At 36.6% G+C, this 25,146-nt stretch overlaps 1 long non-coding RNA gene across 1 annotated transcript in view, besides 4 other annotated features; it reads left to right on the top strand.

Annotated features, from left to right (window-relative positions):
* LOC105374506 (uncharacterized) overlaps nucleotides 1–25,146 on the top strand; it is a 165,476-nt gene that overhangs the window by 119,171 nt on the left and 21,159 nt on the right. The window lies entirely within an intron of this gene.
* Nucleotides 154–233: an enhancer, noted in NCBI's record as "active region_15623". NCBI's record gives its function as "activates an Ori minimal core promoter by ATAC-STARR-seq in GM12878 lymphoblastoid cells {active_cell/tissue: GM12878}" and the evidence as "EXISTENCE:reporter gene assay evidence [ECO:0000049][PMID:35858748]".
* Nucleotides 294–413: an enhancer, noted in NCBI's record as "active region_15622". NCBI's record gives its function as "activates an Ori minimal core promoter by ATAC-STARR-seq in GM12878 lymphoblastoid cells {active_cell/tissue: GM12878}" and the evidence as "EXISTENCE:reporter gene assay evidence [ECO:0000049][PMID:35858748]".
* Nucleotides 2,246–2,355: an enhancer, noted in NCBI's record as "active region_15621". NCBI's record gives its function as "activates an Ori minimal core promoter by ATAC-STARR-seq in GM12878 lymphoblastoid cells {active_cell/tissue: GM12878}" and the evidence as "EXISTENCE:reporter gene assay evidence [ECO:0000049][PMID:35858748]".
* Nucleotides 2,616–2,675: an enhancer, noted in NCBI's record as "active region_15620". NCBI's record gives its function as "activates an Ori minimal core promoter by ATAC-STARR-seq in GM12878 lymphoblastoid cells {active_cell/tissue: GM12878}" and the evidence as "EXISTENCE:reporter gene assay evidence [ECO:0000049][PMID:35858748]".

Raw genomic sequence — 25,146 nt, 5'->3', positions numbered from 1 at the left:
GCCGGATCTGATATGGACTGCCTCCTGCTGTATCTCATCCTCTGGGTGATTCCAAATCACCCAGAAAATCCCCAGGGATCCTGATTCCCATCTGAGTCTTATTTGCTTGCCCAGGGGTGTCCTCCACACTGACTCTTCTCAAACTTAAATTGTATATGCAACATGTGGAGATCGTGTTACTGCATAGATTCTGATTAGTAGGTCTAGGGTGGGGCCTGTGATCTGATGATGCTGCTGGTCCAGGAACCACACTTTGAGGGGCAAGGCATTTCACCCAGAGTATTCCCTCCTCAGACTCCTTCCCACTGGACCCAGAGTTTCTCCTTTCTGATCCCTTTTATTAAAGTCTCTACATATTTTTGCTTGCATTATCATGAACACTGTCTAAATAAAAAGTGCCAGGCCATCTGCTGACCCAAAGTGAGGTGAGAAGTCAGCTGAGCAGATTTTCACTGTAAACCCAGGAAGCACATTCTGACAGTGGTATAGAAACTCACAAACCAGAAGAATGTTATAGAGAGGACAAATGAAGTTCTCTCTTTCTCTCTTTCTGCAGGATTTCACCTCTCAAACCTATGAAAATAGTTCAGGCTCAGTAGCATTTGTCCTTTCTGTAACATTCTTCTGGTTTTGTGAGTTTCTATGCCACTGTCAGAATGTGCTTCCTGGTTTTGCTGACAGTCACCTAGAAACATGAATCTAAGTTCTTTAAAAAATGCTGACACTTTCAGTCCACTGGATCTGATAAAATATGGGGTGGTGTGTTGTTCTCTTTCCTTTCTTCCATGCGATTTTCTCTAAACTAACATGAAAAACTGATGAAAGATGGTTGGAGTTAGAGTTTATTAGAGGGTTAGGATACTTTTAGAAAGGAGGAAAAAGGCTAAAGTGCTATCTAAATTATCATTGTTCCTTGAGTAGCCATAGAAAAGTGCCTAATGCCTGCACTTTCACAAGTAAAGTAGACCTTTCTGCCTAGTGGTAACTTTGCTCTCTCGATCTGAGTTTTTTACCTGCGCTTCCTAAACATCTCTCCTATATCTCTTATCCCAAACAAAAAGACTCTCATTCCTTGTATCCTTTTCCTTTCTCTGTCTCTTACAATGTCCTGAAGCCTTGGAGTGTGACATGGACTTCAGCTAGATGGGTAGTGATTCCTTTCATTGTCTGGTCTTGTAAGTCCTTCAGCTTGACTTTGCTCTTCAATATTTCCATCAATGGGAGCTGCAGGCCTAAATGTTCTTTAATGGATTGGCCTATGGGAAAGCATATTACCACCAAACACACTTAATTTTTAAAAAATAATGCTGTTTGAACCCATTTGAGAAAAGAATGTTTCTTCAATTAATGGCATATGGTGTGCTATACCTTGAGTCACTGGTTTCCTATTACAGTAATCATTTATTTTCTTTCTGTCTCTCTGCCTGGGGTCTGTTGAAATCATTAAATGCCTAAGTCAATCTCTAGTGGTCAAAAAAAGTGTTAGAAATATAGGTAACCACTCAAGCCTAGGTCAAGCTTTACCTTTGATCTGTGATGTCATCTTTTCCCTGAGGCCTGGTTTCCTCGTTGGGATGGATAAAATCTCCCATGCTTTCAGAATCTCATAGAATCTCGAAAAAGGATCTGAGCCTACCCTTGATGTGGCACTGTGGAAAAACAGGCCAAACTTCATTCTGGTCCTTGGCTAAGCTGGGGCTTATCAGATTCCTAAATCACTCATACCCGAATAATGAGTTATGAAACCAAAGTTTGCATCCTGGTTTATATCCATGTGGAACAATTCATGTGCTGAAGGATATGAATCTAGTATTACCAACTTTTAAGGGGTCCATTATTAGTGGCCTGCCTTTCATTCGCAAACTTTTTAATAATTGGGAAGGGCTTTACCCTTGAATCAGTCATCATTAACATAATTATCACTAGAGAAGCAATAAGATTTGCTTCTCTAGTGATAGGAAAGATGATAGGAAATCTAGTGATAGGAAAACGGAAGTCTTCCTCATCTATAGGGAACATGAAGTCTAGGAAGATTCAGCCTGGGTGCGGTGGGTCATGCTTGTAATCTCAGCAATTTGGGAGGCCAAGGCAGGGGGATCACCTGAGGTTGGGAGTTCGAGACCAGCCTGGCCAACATGGTGAAACCCAGCCTCTACTAAAAATACAAAAATTAGGCGTGGTGGCACAGGCCTGTAATCCCAGCTACTCGGGAGGCTGAGGCAGGAGAATTGCTTGAACCTGGGGGTTGCAGTAAGCCAGGGTCGCGCCACTGCACTCCAGCCTGGGTGACAGAGTGAGACTCTGTCTCAAAAAGAAAAAAAAAAAAAACCTAGAAAGATTCTGTAATTTCTCAAGGTCACACAGGATGTGAGCAGCCATCAAGTGCTTGAGCTTTTACTTCCTGTTTAGCACACTATTGAATAAGCTAGCCTGAACTTACTTCTGAAGCCAAATGTGATTTTCAGAGTATTTCACTTTCTGTGTTATTAAAAAAACCCTCCATTTCAAAGAGCCCTCTGGCTATAGTCCACATTTCTCTCTAGACAGCAGCCTCAGAACGTGTGATTAAAAATGGAAATGTGCTTTTGGGAACTGATAATATGCTCTTAAACTCTGGTGCTTTTCCACCAGCAAAACAGTTAAGAGTGTTTTTTTGTTGTTGTTGTTTTTACTGTTCATCGTTTCTCACACCTCTAATACAAATGCTATTAGTATTAATAACATTGGGATTTCTATCTGATGTTTTCTGGAAGTGAGACACAGCTTTACTGCCATGAGCAACATCTGGTAGTTTCTCTGTGGAACTGCTCATGCCTTTCCTGGGTCACACAAGAGCACTACCACTGGCCTCATAGGAAAGATGAAACATCCTTTGGTGTTAAATGTCCTCAGTGTTATTATCATTTCAGTTTGGCAGTAATCATTTGAATGAGTATCCCAGAGTATCCAATAAGCCAGTAACAAACAGAGAGAGGTTGTTAGAACCATTATGTGTGTATCATTGATGGGCCATATAGTTTAGTTCTTGCAACGTCTCTGTGTCTCGCCTTCTCATTTCTAAGATTCCTTAGAGAACCAGATTTTTTATTCTATTCCACATTCTACGTTACGTATTATTTAGGTGCTGTTCTAAGAACTTTATACATGTTAACATTTATTTGTATAACAACCCTACTATAGGTAAGTACTGTTGTCACCGTATTTATAGATGAGGAAACTGAAGTCTACACATTACATTGTTCAAAGTCACACAGCTAGTGAGTGTCAGAGTTGCCACTGGAACCCGACCTGGCTCCAAAATTCATGCTTTTGATCACTGTAGTCTTCATCATGACATTGCCCTCGCCTAAGTCCTCACAGCTTTCGATTTCTTAATTTGTTGTTTAGGAGGTCTTCCTTTTTCTTACGTACCAGTGTTTTGAGATTTATTCTGCCAGATTAATTATAAAATACATTTGGATTAATGATGAAAAAGATCATTGAATTCTTTGGTTAGCCTTGTGTGTTCTTAGTGACAATATTGAACAATTTTCAGAAGATTCTTTTTGGGCAATTCCAATTTGATAAGTGCAAAGCTATGCTTGTAGAAATTCTGTGGTTGAAGCACTTCAATCAAATCTCTCCATTACCCTTTCAGCCTCTCTTGTGGCTAACGTGCACACTGGCAGCCAATCAGCAAATGGGAAGGTGAGCCTTAGCAAAACTGAATTCTGAAACAGATTTAAGTTAAATGGGAAGTGACTTGAATCTTGATCTTGAATCACAAAAACTTTTGACGAAACTCATTATGAAGAAACGAATCTTTTCCTGAGTTTCCAAGAAACTAAATTTTATGAAAACTTTTTATTTTTAACACCAGATATATTGTCAATCTAGGTGAAGCCAAGAAATGTAGGTGATCTTATAAAAACATCCTCATATAAGATTTTTGGACTATTTGGGAGACAGTGACATTTCTAGGTGTGTAAGAAATAATCAGTCCTGAGCATTAAGGATGTGTGATTAATTTCATTAAGGGTACTTTTTTTCTTTTTTTGATAAGGAATCCTCTGTTTGAGTTAAGTGTTTATTGTGGGAAATGAGGGAATCCAGCCGTGAATGGAGTCTAAGGGGTGGTAACACTTGTGTTTGTTTCTTAGCACTTGATGGGCAACTGGAAGGACCTGAATGTTTCATCCTTACTATGAGGCCAGTTGTAGTGCTGTTGTGAGTGTGACCCAAGAAAGGCATGAGCAGTTCCATAGAGAAACTACCAGATGTTGCTGATGGCAATATAGCTGTGGCTCACTTCCAGAAAACATCATATACAAATCCCAAACTTGAAAAAATGAGTAGTTAAAAATTATCTATTTGCATTTTAGAAGCATTCTTCACTTCACAAAAGGTTCAACGGGGAGTTTCTTCAAATAGCTTGTTCCCTTAATGTGCTTAAAATAAAATTTGATTTATAAACAACTTCTCAGAAACACATTTACAATAAGGGAAGTATAATTATAACTTTAAAGAGAGAATTATATGATTCTTTATATAGAACATTTATATAGGAGATGAATGCTTTTCTGTTTCCTTTAAATCATTATTTCAAATGGTTTGAAGTAGGGGTGTCCAACTTTTTGGCTTCCCTGGGCCACACTGGAAGAAGAATTGTCTTGGCCACACATAAAATACGCTAACATTAATGATAGCTGCTGAGCTAAAAAAAAATCACTAAAAAATTTCCTGATGTCTTAAGAAAGTTTATGAATTTGTGTTAGGCAGCATTCAAAGCCATCCTGGGCTGCAAGTAGTCCAACCCGTGAGCCATGGGTTGGACAAGGTCAGTTTAAAGCCATCATATTCAAATTCCATAATAGTATGTAGTTATTGCACATTATTTCCATGGTTTATAGTTTACATTGTTTTTATGTATGTTCCCACTGTGACTAGACCCTCTCCATATCCCTGTGAGGTCAGTGAGGGAGGAATTAGTTGACCATTTTACAGATAGTTGGGCTTGCTAAGGTTCTGAAAGATTGGGGCATGCCTTTTAAAATATAGCTAGAACAGCGTTTTTCTTTTAAATTTATTAACTAACTGATAAATCAAAATTGTACGTATTTGTCATGTACAACATAATGTCTTGATAAATGCGTACATTGTAGAATGGCTAAACTGAACTAATTAGCGTATACATTACCTCACATATTTATCTTTTTTCGTGTGGTGAGAACACTTAAATTTACTCTATTAGAATTTTCAATAATGTAATTTATTGTTATTTATTATAGTCACCATGTGAACTAGATCTCTTGAACTTGTTCCTCCTATTTAACTGAAATTTTGTACCTTTAGACCAATGTTTCTTTAACCCCTTATAACCTTCAGGCCCTGGTAACTACAGTTCTACTCTCTGCTTCTGTTAAGTTTGGCTTTTTTAGCTTTCACATATCAGTGAGATCAGCAGTGTTTGTCTTTCTGCACCTGGCTTGTTTCACTTAACATAATAACCTCCAGTTCCATCCATGTTGTTGCAAATGACAGGGTTTTGATGATCCTTTAAAAAGTGAGATTTCTGAATTTGTTTTGTGAGACTTTTCTGTGATATTATTGAGTAAAAACATTAAGAACCGTAGCAGCAGAACTAGCACAATACTAGACTTAATCTAGGGTTCAAGGGAGTTCTGCTAGGAACATCCTTTTCCTTTTGTAACACAGAGGTTGGTGGGGATGGAGTAGGAGTCATCTAGACTCACAAACACCAATTGGAAGAATAGCTTGAGCTACCTCCCTCAGATTCACGATACAAAATAAGAGTCTGGGCTGGGCCGGACATGGTGGCTCATGCCTGTAATCCCAGCCATTTGGGAGGCTGAGGTAGGCAGATCACCAGAGGTCAGGAGTTCAAGACCAGCCTGGCCAACATGGCAAAACCGTGTTTCTACTAAAAATACAAAAATTAGCTGGGCATGGTGGCACACGCCTGTAATCTCAGCTACTTGGGAGGCTGAGGCAGGAGAATTGTTTGAACCCAGGAGACAGACGTTGCAGTGAGCCGAGATCATGCCATTGCACTGCAGCCTCGATGACAGAGTAAGACTCTGTCTCAAAAAAAAAAAAAAAAAAAAAAAAAAGGCTGATACTCTAAATGATTTAACATTTTGGTTTGTTTATTCAGATCTTTCTTCTTCCTCATTTTAAAATGTCGTTAAAATTACAGTAGTCTTTACAATATGAGTTATTTGACAGATCTTTTCCTCTAATTAAACATAAACAATAAGTTCATGCATTTTATTTTACATATTGTCAGTGTATAAAATGTTCTTCTTTGTATATAATTACAATATGAGAACTCAAGGTGAAGAATATGTGGGAAAAAATAAAGCCGCAACCTTCTTATTCATGAAATCCATTAATGGCATCATTTTGGCACATTTATAGCAGAAGAGTTGAGCTAATCACAACTTTATGATTGGGAAAGTTAAGAATTTTTTCATTTACCAGTTGACTTGCAAAGTCAATGAGCCTGTAAGAGATGAACTACTTTATGGTCTCAGGCATGCGTAGTATATACAACCCATGGCTCTTTATCTTCCTTGAGTGGCCTGTTAAGAATAACTGAAGCAGACAATGGTGCATAAAAAATCCTGACTCATGCAATCTCTCTTACAGATTTAAAGAGTATTCAGAAATTTAGTTAGGGCTGTATCTTAATCTCTATTAAAAATGTCTTTCACTATGAAAATGAGCAGAGCTCTTTAAGATAGCAGATGAATCTACAATTATTTTTTCCTATCTGAAAATACTGTCCCTATCCTCTTTTTGAAACATCTAAATTTCATATAAAGGGAAAAATAAATCTATTATCATGGCTTCTGCTGTATTTGCTTATTCTACTAGTTATACAGGGGACTTCAAAAAGTTCATCGAAAAATAAAATTAATAGATAAAAATAAAAACATAAACTTGATTTCTCAATATAAGTTCCATCAAATTGAAGACACTTTTGTAAGTGATGTTACCAGCCATTTAATCCATTCCTAAAGAATGGCAGTTCCTGGGGTTTAGCCATATCAATGCATTCTTTTTTACATTATTGGCTAAAGAAAAGCAAGTGCCTTTTAAAGATTTTTTTAGGGTTATAAAACAAAAGGAAGTCAGAAGAAACCAAATTCGAATTGTAAGGTGGATGCCTAATGATTCCCCATCAAACTCTCAAAAAATTACTCTTGTTTGACAAAAAGAATGAGCAGGAACATTATTGTGGTGGAGAATAACTCTCTGGTGAATCTTTCCTGGGCATTTTTTCTGCTAACGCTGTGGTTAACTTTCTCAGAATACTCTCATAACAAGCAGATGTAATTGTTCTTTGGCCCTGTGGAAAGTCAACAAGCAAAATGCCTTCAAAACTATTGCCATGAGATTTGCTCTTGACCAGCCTGCTTTTGCTTTGCCTGGACCACTTCCACCTCTTGGTAGCCATTGCTTTGATTGTGCTTTGTCTCCAGGATCATACTGGTAAAGCCATGTTTCATCTTCTTTTACAATTCTTCAAAGAAATTCTTCAGGATCTTGATCCCAGTTATTTAAAATTTCCCTGAAAGCTCTGCTCCTGTCTGTACTGATTTGGGTGCCATGGTTTTGTCACTCATTGAGTGAAAGGTCTTCTTAACTTTAATTTTTCAGAATTGTGTAAACTGAACCAGTTGAGATGTCTATGGTATAGGCTACTGTTTGTGTTGTTAATCGTTGGCCCTCTTCAATTATAGCATAAATAAGATTAATTATTTTTCTTGCAAATTGATGTAGATGATCTGTTGCTGGGAGCTTCATCTTCAACATTATTTTTTCCCATCTTGAAATGAGTTGTCCATTTGTAAAATGCTGATTTCTTTGGAGCATTGTCTGCATAAACTTTTAATAAAACATCAGTCATTTCATCATTCTTTTACCTATACTTCACCATAAATTTTGTGCTTGTTCTTGCTTCAGTTTTTGCAGAATTAATGTTACTCTGATAGAGGATATTTTAATACTGATGTCTTATCCCTCTAGCCTCAAACTAGATCCTGTTCAGGCATGTTATAATAAGTTAGTATGAATTTATTTTGGTGCATAAATTTTTGACATACATGAATAGTTTTTTCATAATACACATTTTCCATGAACTTTTTGGAGACTCCATATTACTGATGTCTCAGTCTTTGGAGGCCAGAATTTGCACTCCTGTTATCAACAAATGAAGACCCATGCTGTTTCATTCGACATGACCTTCCTAGGGAAACACAATTGAGAAACAAAAGGATATGTTTATTATTTTCTTCATTTTCATAGAAAAGTCTATTACTTCCGTGTCCATGTGTTCTCATCATTTAGATCCCACTTACAAATGAGAACATGTGGTATTTGGTTTTCTGTTCTTGTGTTAGTTTGTTAAGGATAATGGCCTCTAGCTTCAACCATGTTCCTGCAAAGGACATGATTTCATTCTTTTTTTATGGCTGCATAGTATCCCATGGTATATATGTACCTCATTTTCTTTATCCAGCCTACCATTGATAAACATTTAGGCTGATTTTATGTCTTTGTTATTGTGAATAGTGCTACAATAAAGAGCACTATTGCTCCTTCAATGAACTACATGTGCATGTGTCTTTATGACAGAAAAATTTACATTCCTTTGGGTATATATCTAGTAATGGGATTGCTAGGTTAAATGGTAATTCTGTTTTTAGGTATTTGAGGAATCACCACCCTGCTTTCCACAATGGTTGAACTAATTTACACTTCCACCAACAATATATAAATGTTACTTTTTCTCCACAATCTCACCAGCACCTGTTATTTTTTTACTCTTTAATAATAGCCTGTCTGACGGATGTGAGATATTATCTCTTTGAGATTTTAATTTGCATTTCTTTAACGATCAGTGATGTTGAACTTTTTTACATATGCTTATTGGCCACAGGTATGTCTTCTTTTGAAAAGTGTCTGTACATGTCCTTTGTCCACTTTTTAATAAAGTTTGTTTTTTCCTGTAAATTTTTTTTTCTGTCTTTTTTTTTAGACGGAGTCTCACTCTGTCGCCCAGGCTGGAGTGCAGTGGTGCGATGTTGGCTCACTGCAACCTCCACCTCCCGGGTTCAAGCAATTCTCTGCCTCAGCCTCCTGAGTAGCTGGGATTACAGGTGTCTGCCATCATGCCTGGCTAATTTTTTTGTATTTTTAGTAGAGATGGGGTTTCACCATCTTGGCCTGGCTGGTCTTGAACTCCTGACCTCGTGATCCACCCGCCTCAGCCTCCCAAAGTGCTGGGATTACAGGCATGAGCCACCGTCCCCGGCCTCTGTAAGTTTGTTTAAGGTCCTTATAGATGCTGGATATTAGGGCTTTGTGAGATGCATAGTTTGCAAAATTTGTCTCCCATTCTGTAGGTCGTCTGTTTACTCTGCTTATAGCTTCTTTTGCTGTGCAAAGGCTCTTAAGTTTAATTGGTTCCTATTTGCCAAGTTTTGCTTTTGTTGCAATTGCTTTTGGCATATTCATTATGAAATCTTTGCCCATTCTTATGTCCAGAATAGTATTGCCTAGGTAGTTTTCTAGGATTTTTATAGATTTGGGTTTTAAATTTTAGTCTTACTCCATCTGAAGCTGATTTTTGTCTATGGTTTAGGGAAGGGGTGCAGTTTCAATCTTGTGCATATGGCTAGCCAGTTATCCCAGCACCATTTATTGAATAGAGAGTTCTTTCCCCATTTCTTGTTTTTGTCAGCTTTGTTGAAGATCAGACGGTTGTAGGGGTGTAGCCTTATTCCTGGGTTCTCTATTCTGTTTCATTGCTGTATGTGTCTGTAAAAACAGTAATAAATTTCATAGTGTTATATGCAGTATTAGTGCCAAAGTTTGTTACAACTTTTTTGATAGATAATTTTTGCAGATAGCACACTGTAGGAAATCCAGCCAATTCTTTTGGTTATGAACGTTTATTGCACAGATGTGACAATAACATTTATTATGCAGTGTTCTAGATTGATGACAGAGGGTGAGCGTGTCAATATCCAGGATCACTGAGTCCTATTAGTTTTTCATATATAGATATAAACTCAATTTCTTTTGTGCAGACGCTATTTGATTACTATAAAAATATGTTGGATATGAAAAAGAAAAAAAGTTTGGGCAACATAACTTCTACATAAGGAAGCTGGACCAGGAAATAAAAACAGAAGAATAGGACGAGTTACTGAATGTAAAACAATGATTAATTTATTTACATTGAAAGACACTTTCAGTGCTTCCTCTGAAATTCAGGGTAACGGTGTGCTTCTTCATTGTGTTGTGTTTTTATGCTGGAATCACAGGGCCAGGTGAGCAGTAATTCTTCCTCATTGCTGCCTGAACCATTAGCTGCCATGAAGAGTGGCTCATTGCTTGCTTGCTCCTCACTATCAGAGTTCATTATGAAGAATCATTATAGCTTTAACCTCCTTCATTGCAGACAGGTTTTATAACTTCCTGAGATAAATCAAACCTACCTGCATTATCTATCTCTGCCAGCCTCATCATGTTCCTTAGATGTCCAGATATTCTGTCACTAAGGGGACTATTTCCTGCAGAAAAAATTGTGATAGAATTTTATTGACACAATTGGAATATCTTTTAGTCAGACCCATAAACTATAATATGGTAATCTCTGAAGGTTTTTCTGGAGAAATATCTGAAGATATTTGATGACACAATAAGAATAAGGCAAATCTCAAGGAGTTTTTAAGGGTGAAATGTAAAAATGACAAAGAAATATGGATAATTGAATAAATAAAAACAGGAATGGCCCTTTGGGTATGATATTCTTTTGATATTAGAGGAATGCGGTGGAATATGTCACCAAGGTAATATATATATATGAAATGTTAAGAAATTAATAACTGATTATATAATATTTTCCTGAACTATGAATTATCCTTCTGCCAGTGAATATTTTTAAAGACTATTTCTAAGAGAGGATTCACACACTTAAATGTATATAAAATCTTTCAATGTCTTTTTCCACCCTCAGTACATTAAGATATTTGTTTTAATCATGAATGCGCAGTATGTATAGACTCATACATCACCTTACTTGATAGAAAGAAAAGCTTATTTTAATCCTTCTTTTGGGGACACACTTTGTAATTGAGTTTAGTTATCAGAAATGTATGAAAGTAAATTTTTGAGTACTTAAATATTTTAACCTCACTCATTCTGCATGATCATAAATCAGGGAGGAGGAATGTAATGAATGAAGAGACAAATTCAAGGAAGTGTTGATGACTACCAATGTTGTTTCCTCAGGGCTATACAAACATGTGACCTGGTTTTTCTCTTTTTAGGTGGAAGGCCTTGAATACAAATATACATTTTAGGGTAGTAACATTCCAAAAGCAAATTGTGGTCTGAATAGTCTAGGGGAAATAGTGGGAAAGAAAACTGGTAGCAGAAAGAATAAGAAAGCATGTTTTCATTTGCACACATCTAATGATTATTTAATAATGTCCTTGAGCATATGAATTTGGGGCTTCTAAAGGAAGAAGCAAGTTCTTGCTTATGCTTAGCTGGACATGGAGTGATCCACCATCTCTAAGATTATGTTGTCAGAGCTCTATACCACATCACAAAAGTGTAGTTAAATAATTGTTGCATTGATAAATTATACCAGCATGTTGACTGTAATGGATTCAATTTTAATTGACATCATTCTACCTCTGGCAGTTATAAATGGATCAGAAAAACTGATAGTTTTTCACAGATTGTACTAAATGCTGCTAGGAGCAGTTATTGTTTTTAAAAGGCTCTTTTTCTACCAAAAGGACTTTCTAGCACAAGATATACTGGCAAAATAATAGTAGGCTTTAGTTTAATCAACACAAGACTGTCAGTATATAAGCAGAATCTTCTATGCTATTCTTACACATAAATACTCCTAGCTTTTTAAAGCAGTGTGATTTACTGTCTCATATACAAATAACAAGGGCATCTGGAGTGAGGAGTCAGTTGTCCACCATGTACCAACTTTCACTCAGTTCACCGGAAAGTGTATGAGCTTTCAAACTGCTAAATATATTCTGTGACTAACTTATTGAAAGGCAGTGCTCCCTTCCAGAATCTCAGTTCCATAAGCAAGTCAAATGGGGAGGAAATGTCCTATTTAAGCTATTTATATTTATATTTTAAAGGCATCAGGCATCAGTAATTAAATATATACATATAGTTGAAGGAGGTGACTAGATGCATTATATTATTTGACATGAAGAGCATAGCTTTCTAATATAAACCCTTGTGAAAAATAACTTTGGCAAAGGCTTACTGCTATTAGGACATCAATAAGCAAAGAAAAGTAATACACATGGTGGATTCCAGATGGCATTGCCTCAATGGAATGACATCATATAGGAAAGTCTGAAACATTTTATTTATTTTAACAAATGACTATCTTTCCATATTCTTCTTTATGTGCAATAAAATATTATACATAGTTTTGTTTCCATACCACTTTCATCATTTAAAATTTAACATTTAAAATTCCGTTCTGAAGCATACAGATATTCTGTGCATTTTTCAGGATGTCTCTGGATAATCCTTATCTTCGTAGGCAACATCTTCAATATTGCAACATTTAAATTTATATCAAACTGTTCATCATTTCTGTCTGTCATTTGTTGTGGTAAAATATACGTAACATAATATTTACCATTTTAACCATTTTAAAGCCTATAGTTCAGTGGCATTCAGTACATTCACATTGTTGTGCAATCATCATCACTGTCCATATCCAGGACGTTTTAATCATCCCTTATTGAAACTCTGTACACATTAAACAATGTTTCTCCATTTCCCCATACCCACAGTTCTTGGCAGCCACCATTCTACTTTGTCTCTATGAATTTGACTACTCCAGATACCTCATGTAAGTGGAATTATGCAATATTTATTCTTTGAGACTGACATTCCACCTAACGTAATGTTCTCAAGCTTCATTCACATTATAGAATGTACCAGAATTTCATTCCTTTTAAAGGCTGAATAATATTCCATTGTATGTACATACCACATTTTATTCATTTATTTATTGATAGAGATTTGGGTTGTTTCCACCTTTTGGCTATTGTGAATAATACTGCTAAAAACTCTTGGAGTAGATTATTTTCTTGCTTCTATTTTAGACTTCACTTTCTGCATTATATTTACTTATGATCATAATATTTCTTACGTGGCAAATTATACGCTTCTTGAGAATCCTTGATGGTTTTGTATTCATAAGCCCATAGCAACTGAACACTTTTTAGACATAATAGGTGTTACATGCTATCAGTTGAATTGGTAAATGCATCTCAGATAAACCCTAGATTTTGGACATAATCCAGATTTGGACATAACTATCATCATCAACAAGAAGAAAAAATAAATCACATCCTTTCAATAATGATCACAGATAAACCCCTCTGCTTCTCTCCTGAGTCTCCAATTTACTTTAAGCATTCTCAGAAAAAGGAGGAAAACGGAACTCCTCCAGACCAACCATTCATTCAATCGTATAAACTACATTTTGAAACTATTAAAAATAGTAGACAATGATATACATGTTATAGGTACAAATTTGAAAGATAGAACATTTAAGTTTCATCCTGAATCAATGAGTTGGTTAACAGCTTTCTTTGTTACTGTGGTATAAAAATTTAGTAGATGACAGGTCCTATTTGCCAGTCTCGTAGGGCAACCTTGTAAGTGCTTTAAATGAAATTAATTAGCCTATCAACACAGTCTTATGTCACTTAATGATAGGGGTCCCTTCTGAGAAATACCTTGTTGGGTGATTTTGTCCTTGTATGAACATTATAGAGGTTACATGTCCAAACCTAGATGGTAGAGCCTACTACACACCTAGGCTATATTGTGTGGACTATTGCTCCTAGGCTGCAAACCTGTACACGTGTTACAGTACTGAATACTGTAGGCAATTTTAACGCAATAGTATTTGTCTATCTAAACATAGAAAAGGTACAGTAAAAATAGTATGTAAAAGATAAAAAAAGATACACACCTATATAGGGCAGCTCCATTTATAATTTAATGGGATCGCCATTGTATATGTGGTCTGTCTTTGGCCAAAATGTCATTATGCAGTGCATGACTGTAGATGCTTTTTAGCTGGTAGAATTTTTGCCATCCTATTTATGCATATAACATAACTTAAGCAACATACTTTATCAAGGCTGATGCACTAAGTGATTCTGAATCTGGAGAAAGAACTAAAATTTTAAAGATGATAATAATTGAGTTTGTTCAGCATTTCTATGGATCCAGCTGCTGTACCAGGTACTTGGCATTCATTATTTCATATGAATAAGTTTATGCTTTTACATCTGCTGTTTTTCAATAGGAGGAGCAACTGAAGAGCAGAGAAGTTATTTAATTTGGCAGGAAATTTGGTCAACATTAGTATCCAGGTTTGTCTGGCACCAAAATACTATCTCCTTCCCGTATCTTAAAATATTATTTGCAATAAAATTATTAAAATATTTTTCAAACATTTAGCTTTTCCAACTGTGTCACTTTTTTAGGTAAAACTAATAGGGAGCTAAGTTTTTAAAAAATGATTTTAAAATAAACTATTTTTAAAAAGCTTAAGTACGCATATAGTACAAAATCCAGTACATATGAGAGTGTGTGAAAGAAATCTTCCCATTCTTATGCCCAGCCACCTATTCTTCCTCTCCAGGAGTAGCTACTATTATTAATTTGGATTATATTTTTCCATAGACATCCTCCGAAAATATAAGGACGTATTTCATGTAGTTGTTTCACTTAAAATATCTTAGCTGTTTTTTCCGTATCAGTACATACAATGCTGCTTTATTGCTTTAACAGCTATATAAGTTGCTACTTTGTCGTTGAACCATAATTATTTAGCCAGTCCACTGTTGATCAACATTTATATTGCTGCATTTTTTCCTTTGCTATTGAAACTAAAGCTTCAGTGAGTGTCTCCATATTATATCCACTTTACACATGTGCTAAAATAGTTCAAGGATAATTCCCTAGAAGTACAAATTCTGTAAAAGATTCTATATATTTTTAACTTTTATAGATATTGGTTGAATTTTCTTAAATATTTTTAAGGTAATAAAAATGAATTTCTTCTGAGAGGCTCAAGGTCCTCTATAAATTCCACAGAATCAACAATAGTATTCTGGGAGAAGGCAAGCAGCAATTATTGCAGTAAAGCTATAATTAAATTAAATTAAAAACCAGCACAAGAAAATCAGCATCTCCTATAGTGTGGTTAGTGTCATCATAGATCTTGTGTATCAATGAGGCTAGGAAGTAAAGCAAAATGTGCTTATAGGGGAAGAGGTGGAGCAAGATGGCAGAATAGAAAGCTTCACCAGTTGTCCCCACAAGGACACCAAGTTAACAAGTATCAACACCGAAAAAACACCTGCGTAAGAACCAAAAATCAGATAAACACTCATGGTACCTGGTTTCAGCTTCATATCGCCGAAAGAGGCAATGAGGAGATAGGAGAAACAGTCCTGAATCTCTGATGCCACCCCCCGCCACCCTCAACAGCTGTGGGATGGTGCAGAGAGAGTATCTGGGCTTTGGGGGAAGGATAACACAGCAATTGTGTGGCATGGAACTCAGGACTGTTCTGTTGCAGCAGAAAGAATAACCTGACCAGACTCAGCTGATGCCCACACATGGAGGGGGCATTTAAATCAGCCCTAGCCAGAGGGGAATCATCCATCCCAGCAGTGTGAACTTGAGTGCCTACAAACCTTGCCACCAAGGGCCAAAGTGCTCTCAGTTTCTAAGTAAACTTGAAAGGCAGTGTAGGCCATAAGGACTGCAACTCATAGGCAAGTCCTAGGGCTTAACTAGGCCCAGAGACAGTGGACTGGAGGGGCTGGAGGTGGAGGGATGGTTGGGGGAGTGATGTAATATACTGAGACACTAGCTGGGGCAGCTAAGGGAGTGCTGGCATTGCTCCTCCCCTAATCTCAGGCTGCAGAGCTCCTGAGAGCTCAAGAGAGATACCTTTCTGCTTGAGGAGAGGAGAAAAAAGTGTGGGGAAGACTTTGTCTTACATCTTGGATACCAGCTCAGCCACAGCAGGATAGGGCAGTGGTCAGAGTCATGAGGCCCCCATTCCAGGCCCTAGCTCCCAGATGATGTTTCTAGACACATGCTAGGCCAGAAGGGAACATGCTGCCTTGAAGAAAAGGACCCAGTCTTTCCAGCATTCATTACCTGCTAACTGAAGAGCCCTTGGGTCTTGAAAAACCAGCAGCGATACCCTTATACTACATTAAGAACCTTGGGTGAGCCTATGAGACTAGCTGGCTTCAAGGGAGACTCAGCATATTACCAGCTGTGGTGGCTATGGGACAAAACTCCTTCTGCTTGAGAAAAGTGGAGGGAAAAGTAAAGGGGACTTTGTTTTGCACCTTAGATACCAGCACAACCACAGTAGGGTAGAGCACCAAGTAGGCTCTTAGAGTCCCTGGTTCCAGGACTTGACTTTTGGATGGCATTTCTGGACCTTCACTGGGCCAGGGAGAAACCACTGCCCTGAAGGGTGAGTCCCAGGCCAGGCAGCATTTACCACACACTGGCTTAAGAGACCTTGAGCCTTAAGGGAACATTGGTGGCAGTCTGACAGTACTCCTTGTGGCCAGGGGTGGTAGTCATTATGGGGTGAGGCTCCTCTGCCTTTGGAAAGAGGAGGGAAGAGTGGAAAGAGAGGGAAAGAGAGGGAAGAGAGGGAAAAGTCTTGTGATTTGAATGCCAGCTGCAATACAATAGAATATCATGAAGATTTCTAAGGTTTTTGACTCTAGTCCTTGACTCCCAGAAGGCACCTCCAGACCTACCTGAGGCCTGGGGACCTTGCTACCATGAAGGGAAGAACACAGGCGTGGCTGGCTTTGCCACCTGCTGATTATATAGCCCCAGGGCCTTGAGTGAACATAGGCAGTAGACAGGGAGTGATTATAGCAGGGCTTGGGAGAGACCCAGTGCTGTGCTGGCTTCAAGTCTGACCCAGCACAGTCATAGTGGTGGTGGCCACAACATGCTTGTGTCACTCAATCCCCAGCTTTAGGTGGCTCAGAACAGAAAGAGAGAGACTCTGTATGTTTGGGAGAAAGTAAAGGAAGAGACTAAGAGTCTTCACCTGGTAATCCAGAAAATTATTTCAGATCTTGTTTAAGACAATCAAGGTGGTACCTCTATGAGGCTGCAAGAACCACAGTGATACTGGGCTTGGGATGCCCCCTACAGCAAAAACAGCTTAAACCACAATACCCAAGTCCTTTAAAATATCTGGAAAGTCTTCCCAAGAAGGTGGCTTCAAGTAAGCCCAGACAATGAAGACTACAATAAATACCTAACTCTTCAATGCCCAGACACTGAATAACATCTATTAGCATCAGCACCATTCAGGAAAACATGGCTTTACCAAATGAACTAAATAAGGCACCAGGGACCAATCCTGGAGAAACAGAGATATATGAGCTTTCAGACAGAGAATTCAAAATAGCTATGTTGAGGAAACTCAAAGAAATTCAATATAACACAGAGAAGATAAATTTAACAAAGAGATTGAAATAATTAAAAATAAGCAGAAACTCTGGAGCCGAAAAATGCAATTGGCATGCTGAAAACAGCGTCAGAGTCCTTTAATAGCAGAATTGATCAAGAAGAAAGAATTAATGAGCTTAAAGACAGACTACTTGAAAATGCACAGAGGAGACAAAAGAAAAAAGAATTTAAAAAACAATAAAACATGCCTACAGGATCTAGAAAATAGCCTCAACAGGGCAAATCTAAGACTTACTGGTCTTAAAAGGGAGGTGAAGAAAGAGATAAGGGGAGAAAGTTTATTCAAAGGGATAATAATAGAGAACTTCCTAAACTTAGAGAAAGATATAAATACTCAGGTATGAAAAGGTCATAGAATACCAGGCAGATTTAACCCAAAGAAGAATACCTCAATGCATTTAATAATCAGACTCCCAAAGTCAGTGATAAAGAAAGGATCCAAAAAGCATCAAGAGAAAAGAAGCAAATAACATACAATGGAGCTCCAATATATCTGGCAGCAGAGTTTTCAGTGGGAACCTTACAGGCCAGGAGAGAGTGGCATAACGTATTTAAAGTGCTGAAGGAAAAAAACCTTTTACCCTAGAATAGTGTATGTGGTGAAAATATCCTTCAAACATGCAGGAGAAATAAAGACTTCTCCAGACAAAAAAAATGCTGAGGGATTTCGTTAATACCAGACCTGTCCTACAAGAAATGCTAAAGGGAGTACTTCATTCAGAAAGAAAAAGACATTAATGAGCAATAAATAATTACCTGAAGGTAGAAAACTTACTGGTAATAGTAAGAACACAGAAAAAATACAGAATATTGTAACTCTGTAACTGTGGTTTGTAAATAACTCTTATTCTAAGTAGAAAGACTAAAGAAAGAACCAATCAAAAATAATAACTACAACAATTTTTCCAGACATAGTCAGCACAATAAGATATAAGTAAAAACAATAAAAAGTTAAAAAGCAGTGGGACAAAGTCAAGGTGAGTTTTTATTAGTTTTCTTTTCTCTTGCATTTGTTTGTTTATGCAAGTAGTGTTGTTATCAGGTTAAAATAATGGATTATAAGATAGTATTTGCAAGCCTTATGGTAATCTCAAACAAAAAAGCATACAATGGACACACAAAAAATAAAAAGCAAGAGAATAAATCATATCACCAGAGAAAATAATTTTCACTACTGGAAGATAGGAATTAAAAGAAAGGAGGAAGAGAAAACCACAAAATAATCAGAAAACAAATAACAAAATGGCAGGAGTAAGTCATTACTTATCAATAATAACATTGACTGTAAATGGACTAAACTCTCCAATCAAAAGACATTGACTGAATGGATGTAAAAACAAAACCCATTGATCTCTTGCCTACAAGAAACACACTTCACCTATAAAGACACACATAGACCAAAAATAAAAAGATGGAAGACTATATTCCATGCCAATGGATGCCAAAAAAGAGCAAGGGTTGCTATACTATATCACATATTAATAAAATATATTTCAAGACAAAAACGAGACAAAGAAGGTCACTATATAATAATAAAGGTGTCAATTCAGCAAGGGAATATAACAATTTAAAATATATATGCATTGGACACGAGAGTACCCAGTCATATCAAGGAAATGCTATTAGAGCTAAATAGAGAGGCCTCAACACAATACTACCTGAAGACTTCAACGTCTCACTTTTATCATTGGACTGATCTTCCAGACAGAAAACAATAAAGAAACATCACAATTAATCTTCACAATAGACCAAATGGATATAATAAATATTTACAAAACATTTCATCCAAAGCCTACAGAATGTACATTCTTCTCCTCAGCACATGGATTATTCTCAAGTCTAGACCATATGTTTGGTCACAAAACAAGCCTTAAAACATTCAAAAAATTGAAATAATATCAACCATCTTCCCTGACCACAAAATTAGTAACAAGAAGAATTTTGGAAACTATACAAATACATGGAAATCAGACAATATGCTCCTGACGGACCAGTGGGTCAATGGCGAAATTTAGAAAACAATTGAAAAACTTCTTGAAACAAATGATAATGAAAACACAACATACTAAAACCTATGGGATATAACAAAAGCAGTACGAGAAGGGAAGTTTATAGCTATAAATATCTACATTAAAAAGAGGAAAAACTTCAGTAAATAATCTAGTTATGCATATTAAAGAATTAGAAGAGCAAGAACAAACCAAACCCGAAATTAGTAGAAGAAATAATAAAGATTAGAGCAGAAACAAATAAAATTGAAATAAAAAAATACAAAAGATCAATGAAACAAAAAGTTGGTTTTCTGAAAAGTGAAGCAAAATCGACAAAACTTTAGCCAAACTAAGAAAAAAGAAGATCCAAATAAATAAAATCAGAAATGAAAAAGGAGACATTACAACTGATACTGCAGAAAATCAAACGACTATTAGTGGCTGCCATGAGCAACCTTATGCCAATAAATTGGAAAATCTAGGAGAAATGAACAAATTCCTAGATATATACAACCTACCAAGATTGAACCAGAAATAAATCCAAAACCTGAAAAGACTAATACCAAATAATGAGATTGAAGTCATAATAAAATGTCTCCCACTAAAGAAAATTCTAGGACTTAATGGTTTCACTACTAATTTCTACCAAACACTTAAAGAAGAACTAATGCCAATCTTATTCAAACTATTCTGGAAAATAGAGGAGGAAGGAATATTTCCAAACTCATTCTATGAGGCCAGTATTACCCTGATACCAAAAACCAGGCAAAGACACATCAGCAAAAGAAAACTACAGGCTAATATGTCTGATGGATATATATACAAAAATCCTCCACAAAATACTAGCAAACCCAATTCAACAATACGTTAGAAAGATTATTCATCATTACCAAGTGAGATTTATCCCAGGAGGCAAGAATGATTCAACATGTGCAAATCAATCAATGTATACATGTAAACATCACATCAAAAGAATGAAGTATAAAGATGATATGGTCATTTCAATTGGTGCTGAAAAAGCATTTGATAAAATTCAACATCCCTTCATGATAAAAACCCTCAAAATACTATCTATAGAAGGAACATACTCCAACATGATAAAAGCCACATATGACGGACCAACAGCAAGTATATTGAATGGGGAGAAACTGAAAGCTTTCCTGTAAGAGCTGGAATATGGCAAGGATGCTCACTGTCACCACAGTTGTTCGGCATAGCACTGGAAGTCCTAGCTAGAGCAATCAGTCAGGAGAAAGACATAAATGGCATCCAAGTTGGAAATGAAGTCAAATTATCCTTGTTTTCTGAAAAACCTAAAAATTCCACAAGAAAACTATTAGAACTGTTAAACAGAGTCAGTAAAATTGAGGTATACAAAATCAACATACAAAAATCAGTAGCATTTCTATATGTCAACAGTGAACAACATGAAAAAAAAATCCCATTTACAATAGCCACTCATAAAATTAAATACGTATGAATTAGCTTATTCAAAGAAATGAAAGATCTCTGTAATCACAACTACAAACACTGATGAAGGAAATTGAAGAGGACACCAAAAAAAAAAAAAAAAGAAAAAATATTCCATGTTTACGGATTGGAAGAATCAATATTGTTAAAATGTCCATACTACCCAAAGCAGTCTATAGATTCAATGCAATTAGTATAAAAATACCAATGACATTCTCCACAGAAGTAGCAAAAACAATCCTAAAATTTATATGGAACCACAAAAGACCCCAAATAGCCAAAGCTATCCTAAGCAAAAAGAACAAAACAGCAGGAAATCACATTACTTGACTTCAAATTATATGACCGAGCTATAGTAACCAAAACAGCATGGTGCTGGCATAAAAACAGACACAAAGTCCAATGGAACAGAATAGACAACTCAGAAAGAAATCCACACACCTACATTGAACTCATTTACAGTAAAGATGCCAAGAACATACACTGGGAAAAAGACAGTCTCTTCAATAATAAATGGTGCTTGGAAAACTGGCTATCCATACACAGAAGAATGAAACTAGGTCCCTATCTCTTGCCATATACAAAAATAAAATCAAAATGTATTGAAGACTTAAATCTAAGACCTCAAACCATGAAAATACTATGGGAAAACATTAAGGAAACTCTCTAAGACATTGGTATGGGCAAAGATTTCTTGAGAAACATGCCACAGGCACTGGCAACCAAAGCAACAATGAACAAATAAGATCACATTAAATAAAAAAAACTTTTGAATAGCAAAGGATACAGTCAACAAAGTGAAGAGAAAACTCACCTAATGGGAGAAAATATTTGTAAACTATCCATCTGACAAGGGATTAATAACCAGAATATATAAGGAGCTCAAACAATTCTATAGAAAAAAAATCTAATTGTTTGATCAAAAGATGGGCAAAAGACTTAAATAGACTTTTTTTTTTTTTAAAAAAAGACATACAAATGGCAAACAGACCTATGAAAAAGTGCTCAACATCATTGATCATCAGAGAAATGCAAATCAAAACTACAATGAGATATCATCTCATCCCAGTTAAAATGGCTTATATCCAAAAGATAGGCAATAGCAAATTCTGGCAAGGATGTGGAGAAAAGGGAAACCTCATACACTGTTGGTAATAATGTAAATTAGTACAACCACTCTGGAGAACAGTTTGGAGGTTCCTTAAAAAAACTAAAAATTCAACTCCTATATGATCCAGCAATTTCACTGCTGGGTATATAGTCAAAGGAAAGGAAATCGGTATATCAAAGAAATATCTGCACTCCCGTGTTTATTGCAGCACTGTCTACAATGGCTAAGATTTGGAAGCAACCTAAGTGTTCATCAACAGATGAATGGATAAAGAAAATGTGTTATACATACACAATGGAGTACTATTCAGCCATAAATAGAATGAGATTTAGCAATTTGCAACAACATGGATGGAACTGGAAATCATTATGTTAAGTGAAATAAGCCAGGCACAGAAGGACAGACATCACATGTTCTCACTTATTCATGGGATCTAAAAATCAAATCATTTGAAATTATGGATATAGAGAGTAGAAGGATGGTTGCCTGATAGTGAGGGTTGGGGGAGAGGTAGAGATGGGGGGTTAAAAAAAATAGAATGAATAAGACCTACTATTTGATAGCCCAATAGGGTGACTATAGTCACAATAACTTAATTGTATATTTTAAAATAAGAATTTAATTGGATTGTTTGTAGCTCAAAGGACAAATTCTTGAGGGGATAGATACCCTATTCTCTACCATGTACTTATTTCGCACTGCTTGACTGTATTAAAACATCTCATGTACCCTATAAATACACCCACTATGTACCCACAAAAAATTTTAAAAAATAATTAAAACTTTTTAAAAAGAATAGCAAAATGTTAGAAGAGGAGAATTTTAGAGGATGAGGAGTAGAACAAACAGAACCAAATTACATTGAAACACTCTCCAAGACCTGCAGGACAGATTTACACCAGGGTAGAGCAAGTTAAGCCTGAGCCTTTGCCACCTGCCTCTTCTCCCTGCCTTTCCATCTTCAACTTCTGGGATCAGACAACTAGAAGACCTTGAAGTCGTTACAGCTGTGAAAAAGGATTCCAAATTATGATTAAAAAGAAGAAGCTAATCAAGATGGTCTAGGGATTTAACACATATCAAGTAGTTAAAAAAAATGGTGCTTAATTTAGAGAAACAAGACCTCAATATGACTATGTGTTTCCAATGCTTAGGTATCCACAGACAGATTTAAAGATAAGTCAGAACAGTTGTTTACTTCCAGATTAAAAAACATGTCTACTAGCTCTTATTCATCTATATCAAGAGGAATGCCTAAAAAATAGCAACACTGATTGTAGGAACAAGGGTTGAACACTATTGGAAACATTATGCGGATCTAACCCATTGTAAGAGATGCAAAAACATAGGTCCTCATTTTCTTCTCAAGGTTACATGTCATGCTGATTTTCTCATGCTCTGGACACAGACCTACTCTTGTGTATGTGAGCATACACAATGCCTCTCTCATTTTTCTCTGGATGCTTGTCTAGTTTCGTATCTGAACTTCAATTCATCTATTTCTGAACTCTTCTGTGGTTTTAACTGTATCATTCAGACACTGACGCTGGGCTAAGGGGTAAAAACTGGGGAGGGAGGCTGAGAGTAGAGTTTCCTTGAGCATGGCTCCACATCTACTTTGATCTGGACACAAGTGGAGCCTTTGGCATGGAGACCACTGGAAAATGAAGAAAGTAGGAAGCTCACTACTCAGGCTGAGCAGTGCTCACAATCTGCAGTGTGGGTTAAGGCCCAGGCTTTATTAATGCCACATTGTGGGACTAGACTACTATTTAAGTAAGAGAGGGAATAGGCACATCTGATGAAGCCTGGAATTGAAGGAGAAATGATATGTATATAGATATCTTTCAGTGATTGAAACTGTTTTCTGGGCCAGGAGCCATGTGTCTGATGTTCTGAGTTCCGCCTTAAAGGACCTCACTTCAGTGCAGTTATAAATTCTGAAACTTTTCCTTGGATAGCCTGATCCATGAGCTTCATTCAGAAAACATTTCTGGATCTATGCAAGCTAGAACTCAAAACTGATGAAACACAAAGCAAAGGCATGAATATGGCATACTACCTTGATTTTGATTTCTGATCTGGTTCAGGCTTAGAAAGGCAGGTAATTTTATAATTACCTTCAGAATGATCAACCCACCTAGAAAACTTAGAAAGTTCCTGGGTTCAGCACCAATGTCACAACTGGTTTTGCTTAGAAGCTTTAACGAATAATCCCTTGGTGGATTCATTGATGTCTTCTGTTTCTGAAACCTGTGCCTCTCACTTGGAGCTTGTATCCATATAGCCAGTGTAATTCTGCTTTTAGTCATTTTAATCCCTTCTATCTTTGCTAAAGATTGCACCTTGTGCTTGTCTCCAATGTTTGATGCAAATTATTGACCCCTGGCTTCAGATTCACCTCCCACAGATATTGTACCTGCCTACATCTTCTTTCTATGCTAATTAAATATAAAATTTTGCCCTCTTTTACTATTCACACTGCTCCTTTGCATTTCTCCAATTAAAATTTTTTCAACCTAAGTGTAGGTCTTTACTAAAGCAGCCGGGTGGAAAATATTAAAGATCACTCTATCTAAATGAGGGACACAGTTTAGAGCAAGGATATAATGAAATAAATCTATGACATAGTTAAGCACCTTGATGATTAAACTAACTTAGTTTCCTCTTAGTCTTAAGCAGAAGAAATCTTTCATGAATCAGTCAAAAGCCTTTAGGTGGGCTATGAGAGCCTGGCTCTTGTTTTTGAGAATTTCAGGGCAGAGTGAAGCCCTTTAAAGCTCTGTAACAGAGGTCAATGGGCAGCTTACAAGTGATCAGAAAGGGACTCTGCTTATTCCTTAACGTTTCCCTGTTTCAATTTTACCTTTTTCCTCTTTCTCTGGGGTTAATACACTTTTTTAAAAAATTGTGTTTTGGGTCAAATGGGTGGCTCAAGACACAATTTTTTAAAAAAGTGTA

This window comes from Homo sapiens, chromosome 2 (genome assembly GCF_000001405.40).
Source record: "Homo sapiens chromosome 2, GRCh38.p14 Primary Assembly".
NCBI lineage: Eukaryota > Metazoa > Chordata > Mammalia > Primates > Hominidae > Homo > Homo sapiens.
Note: the sequence above shows the minus strand (reverse complement) of the source record. Positions and strands in the feature narration are given on the sequence as shown.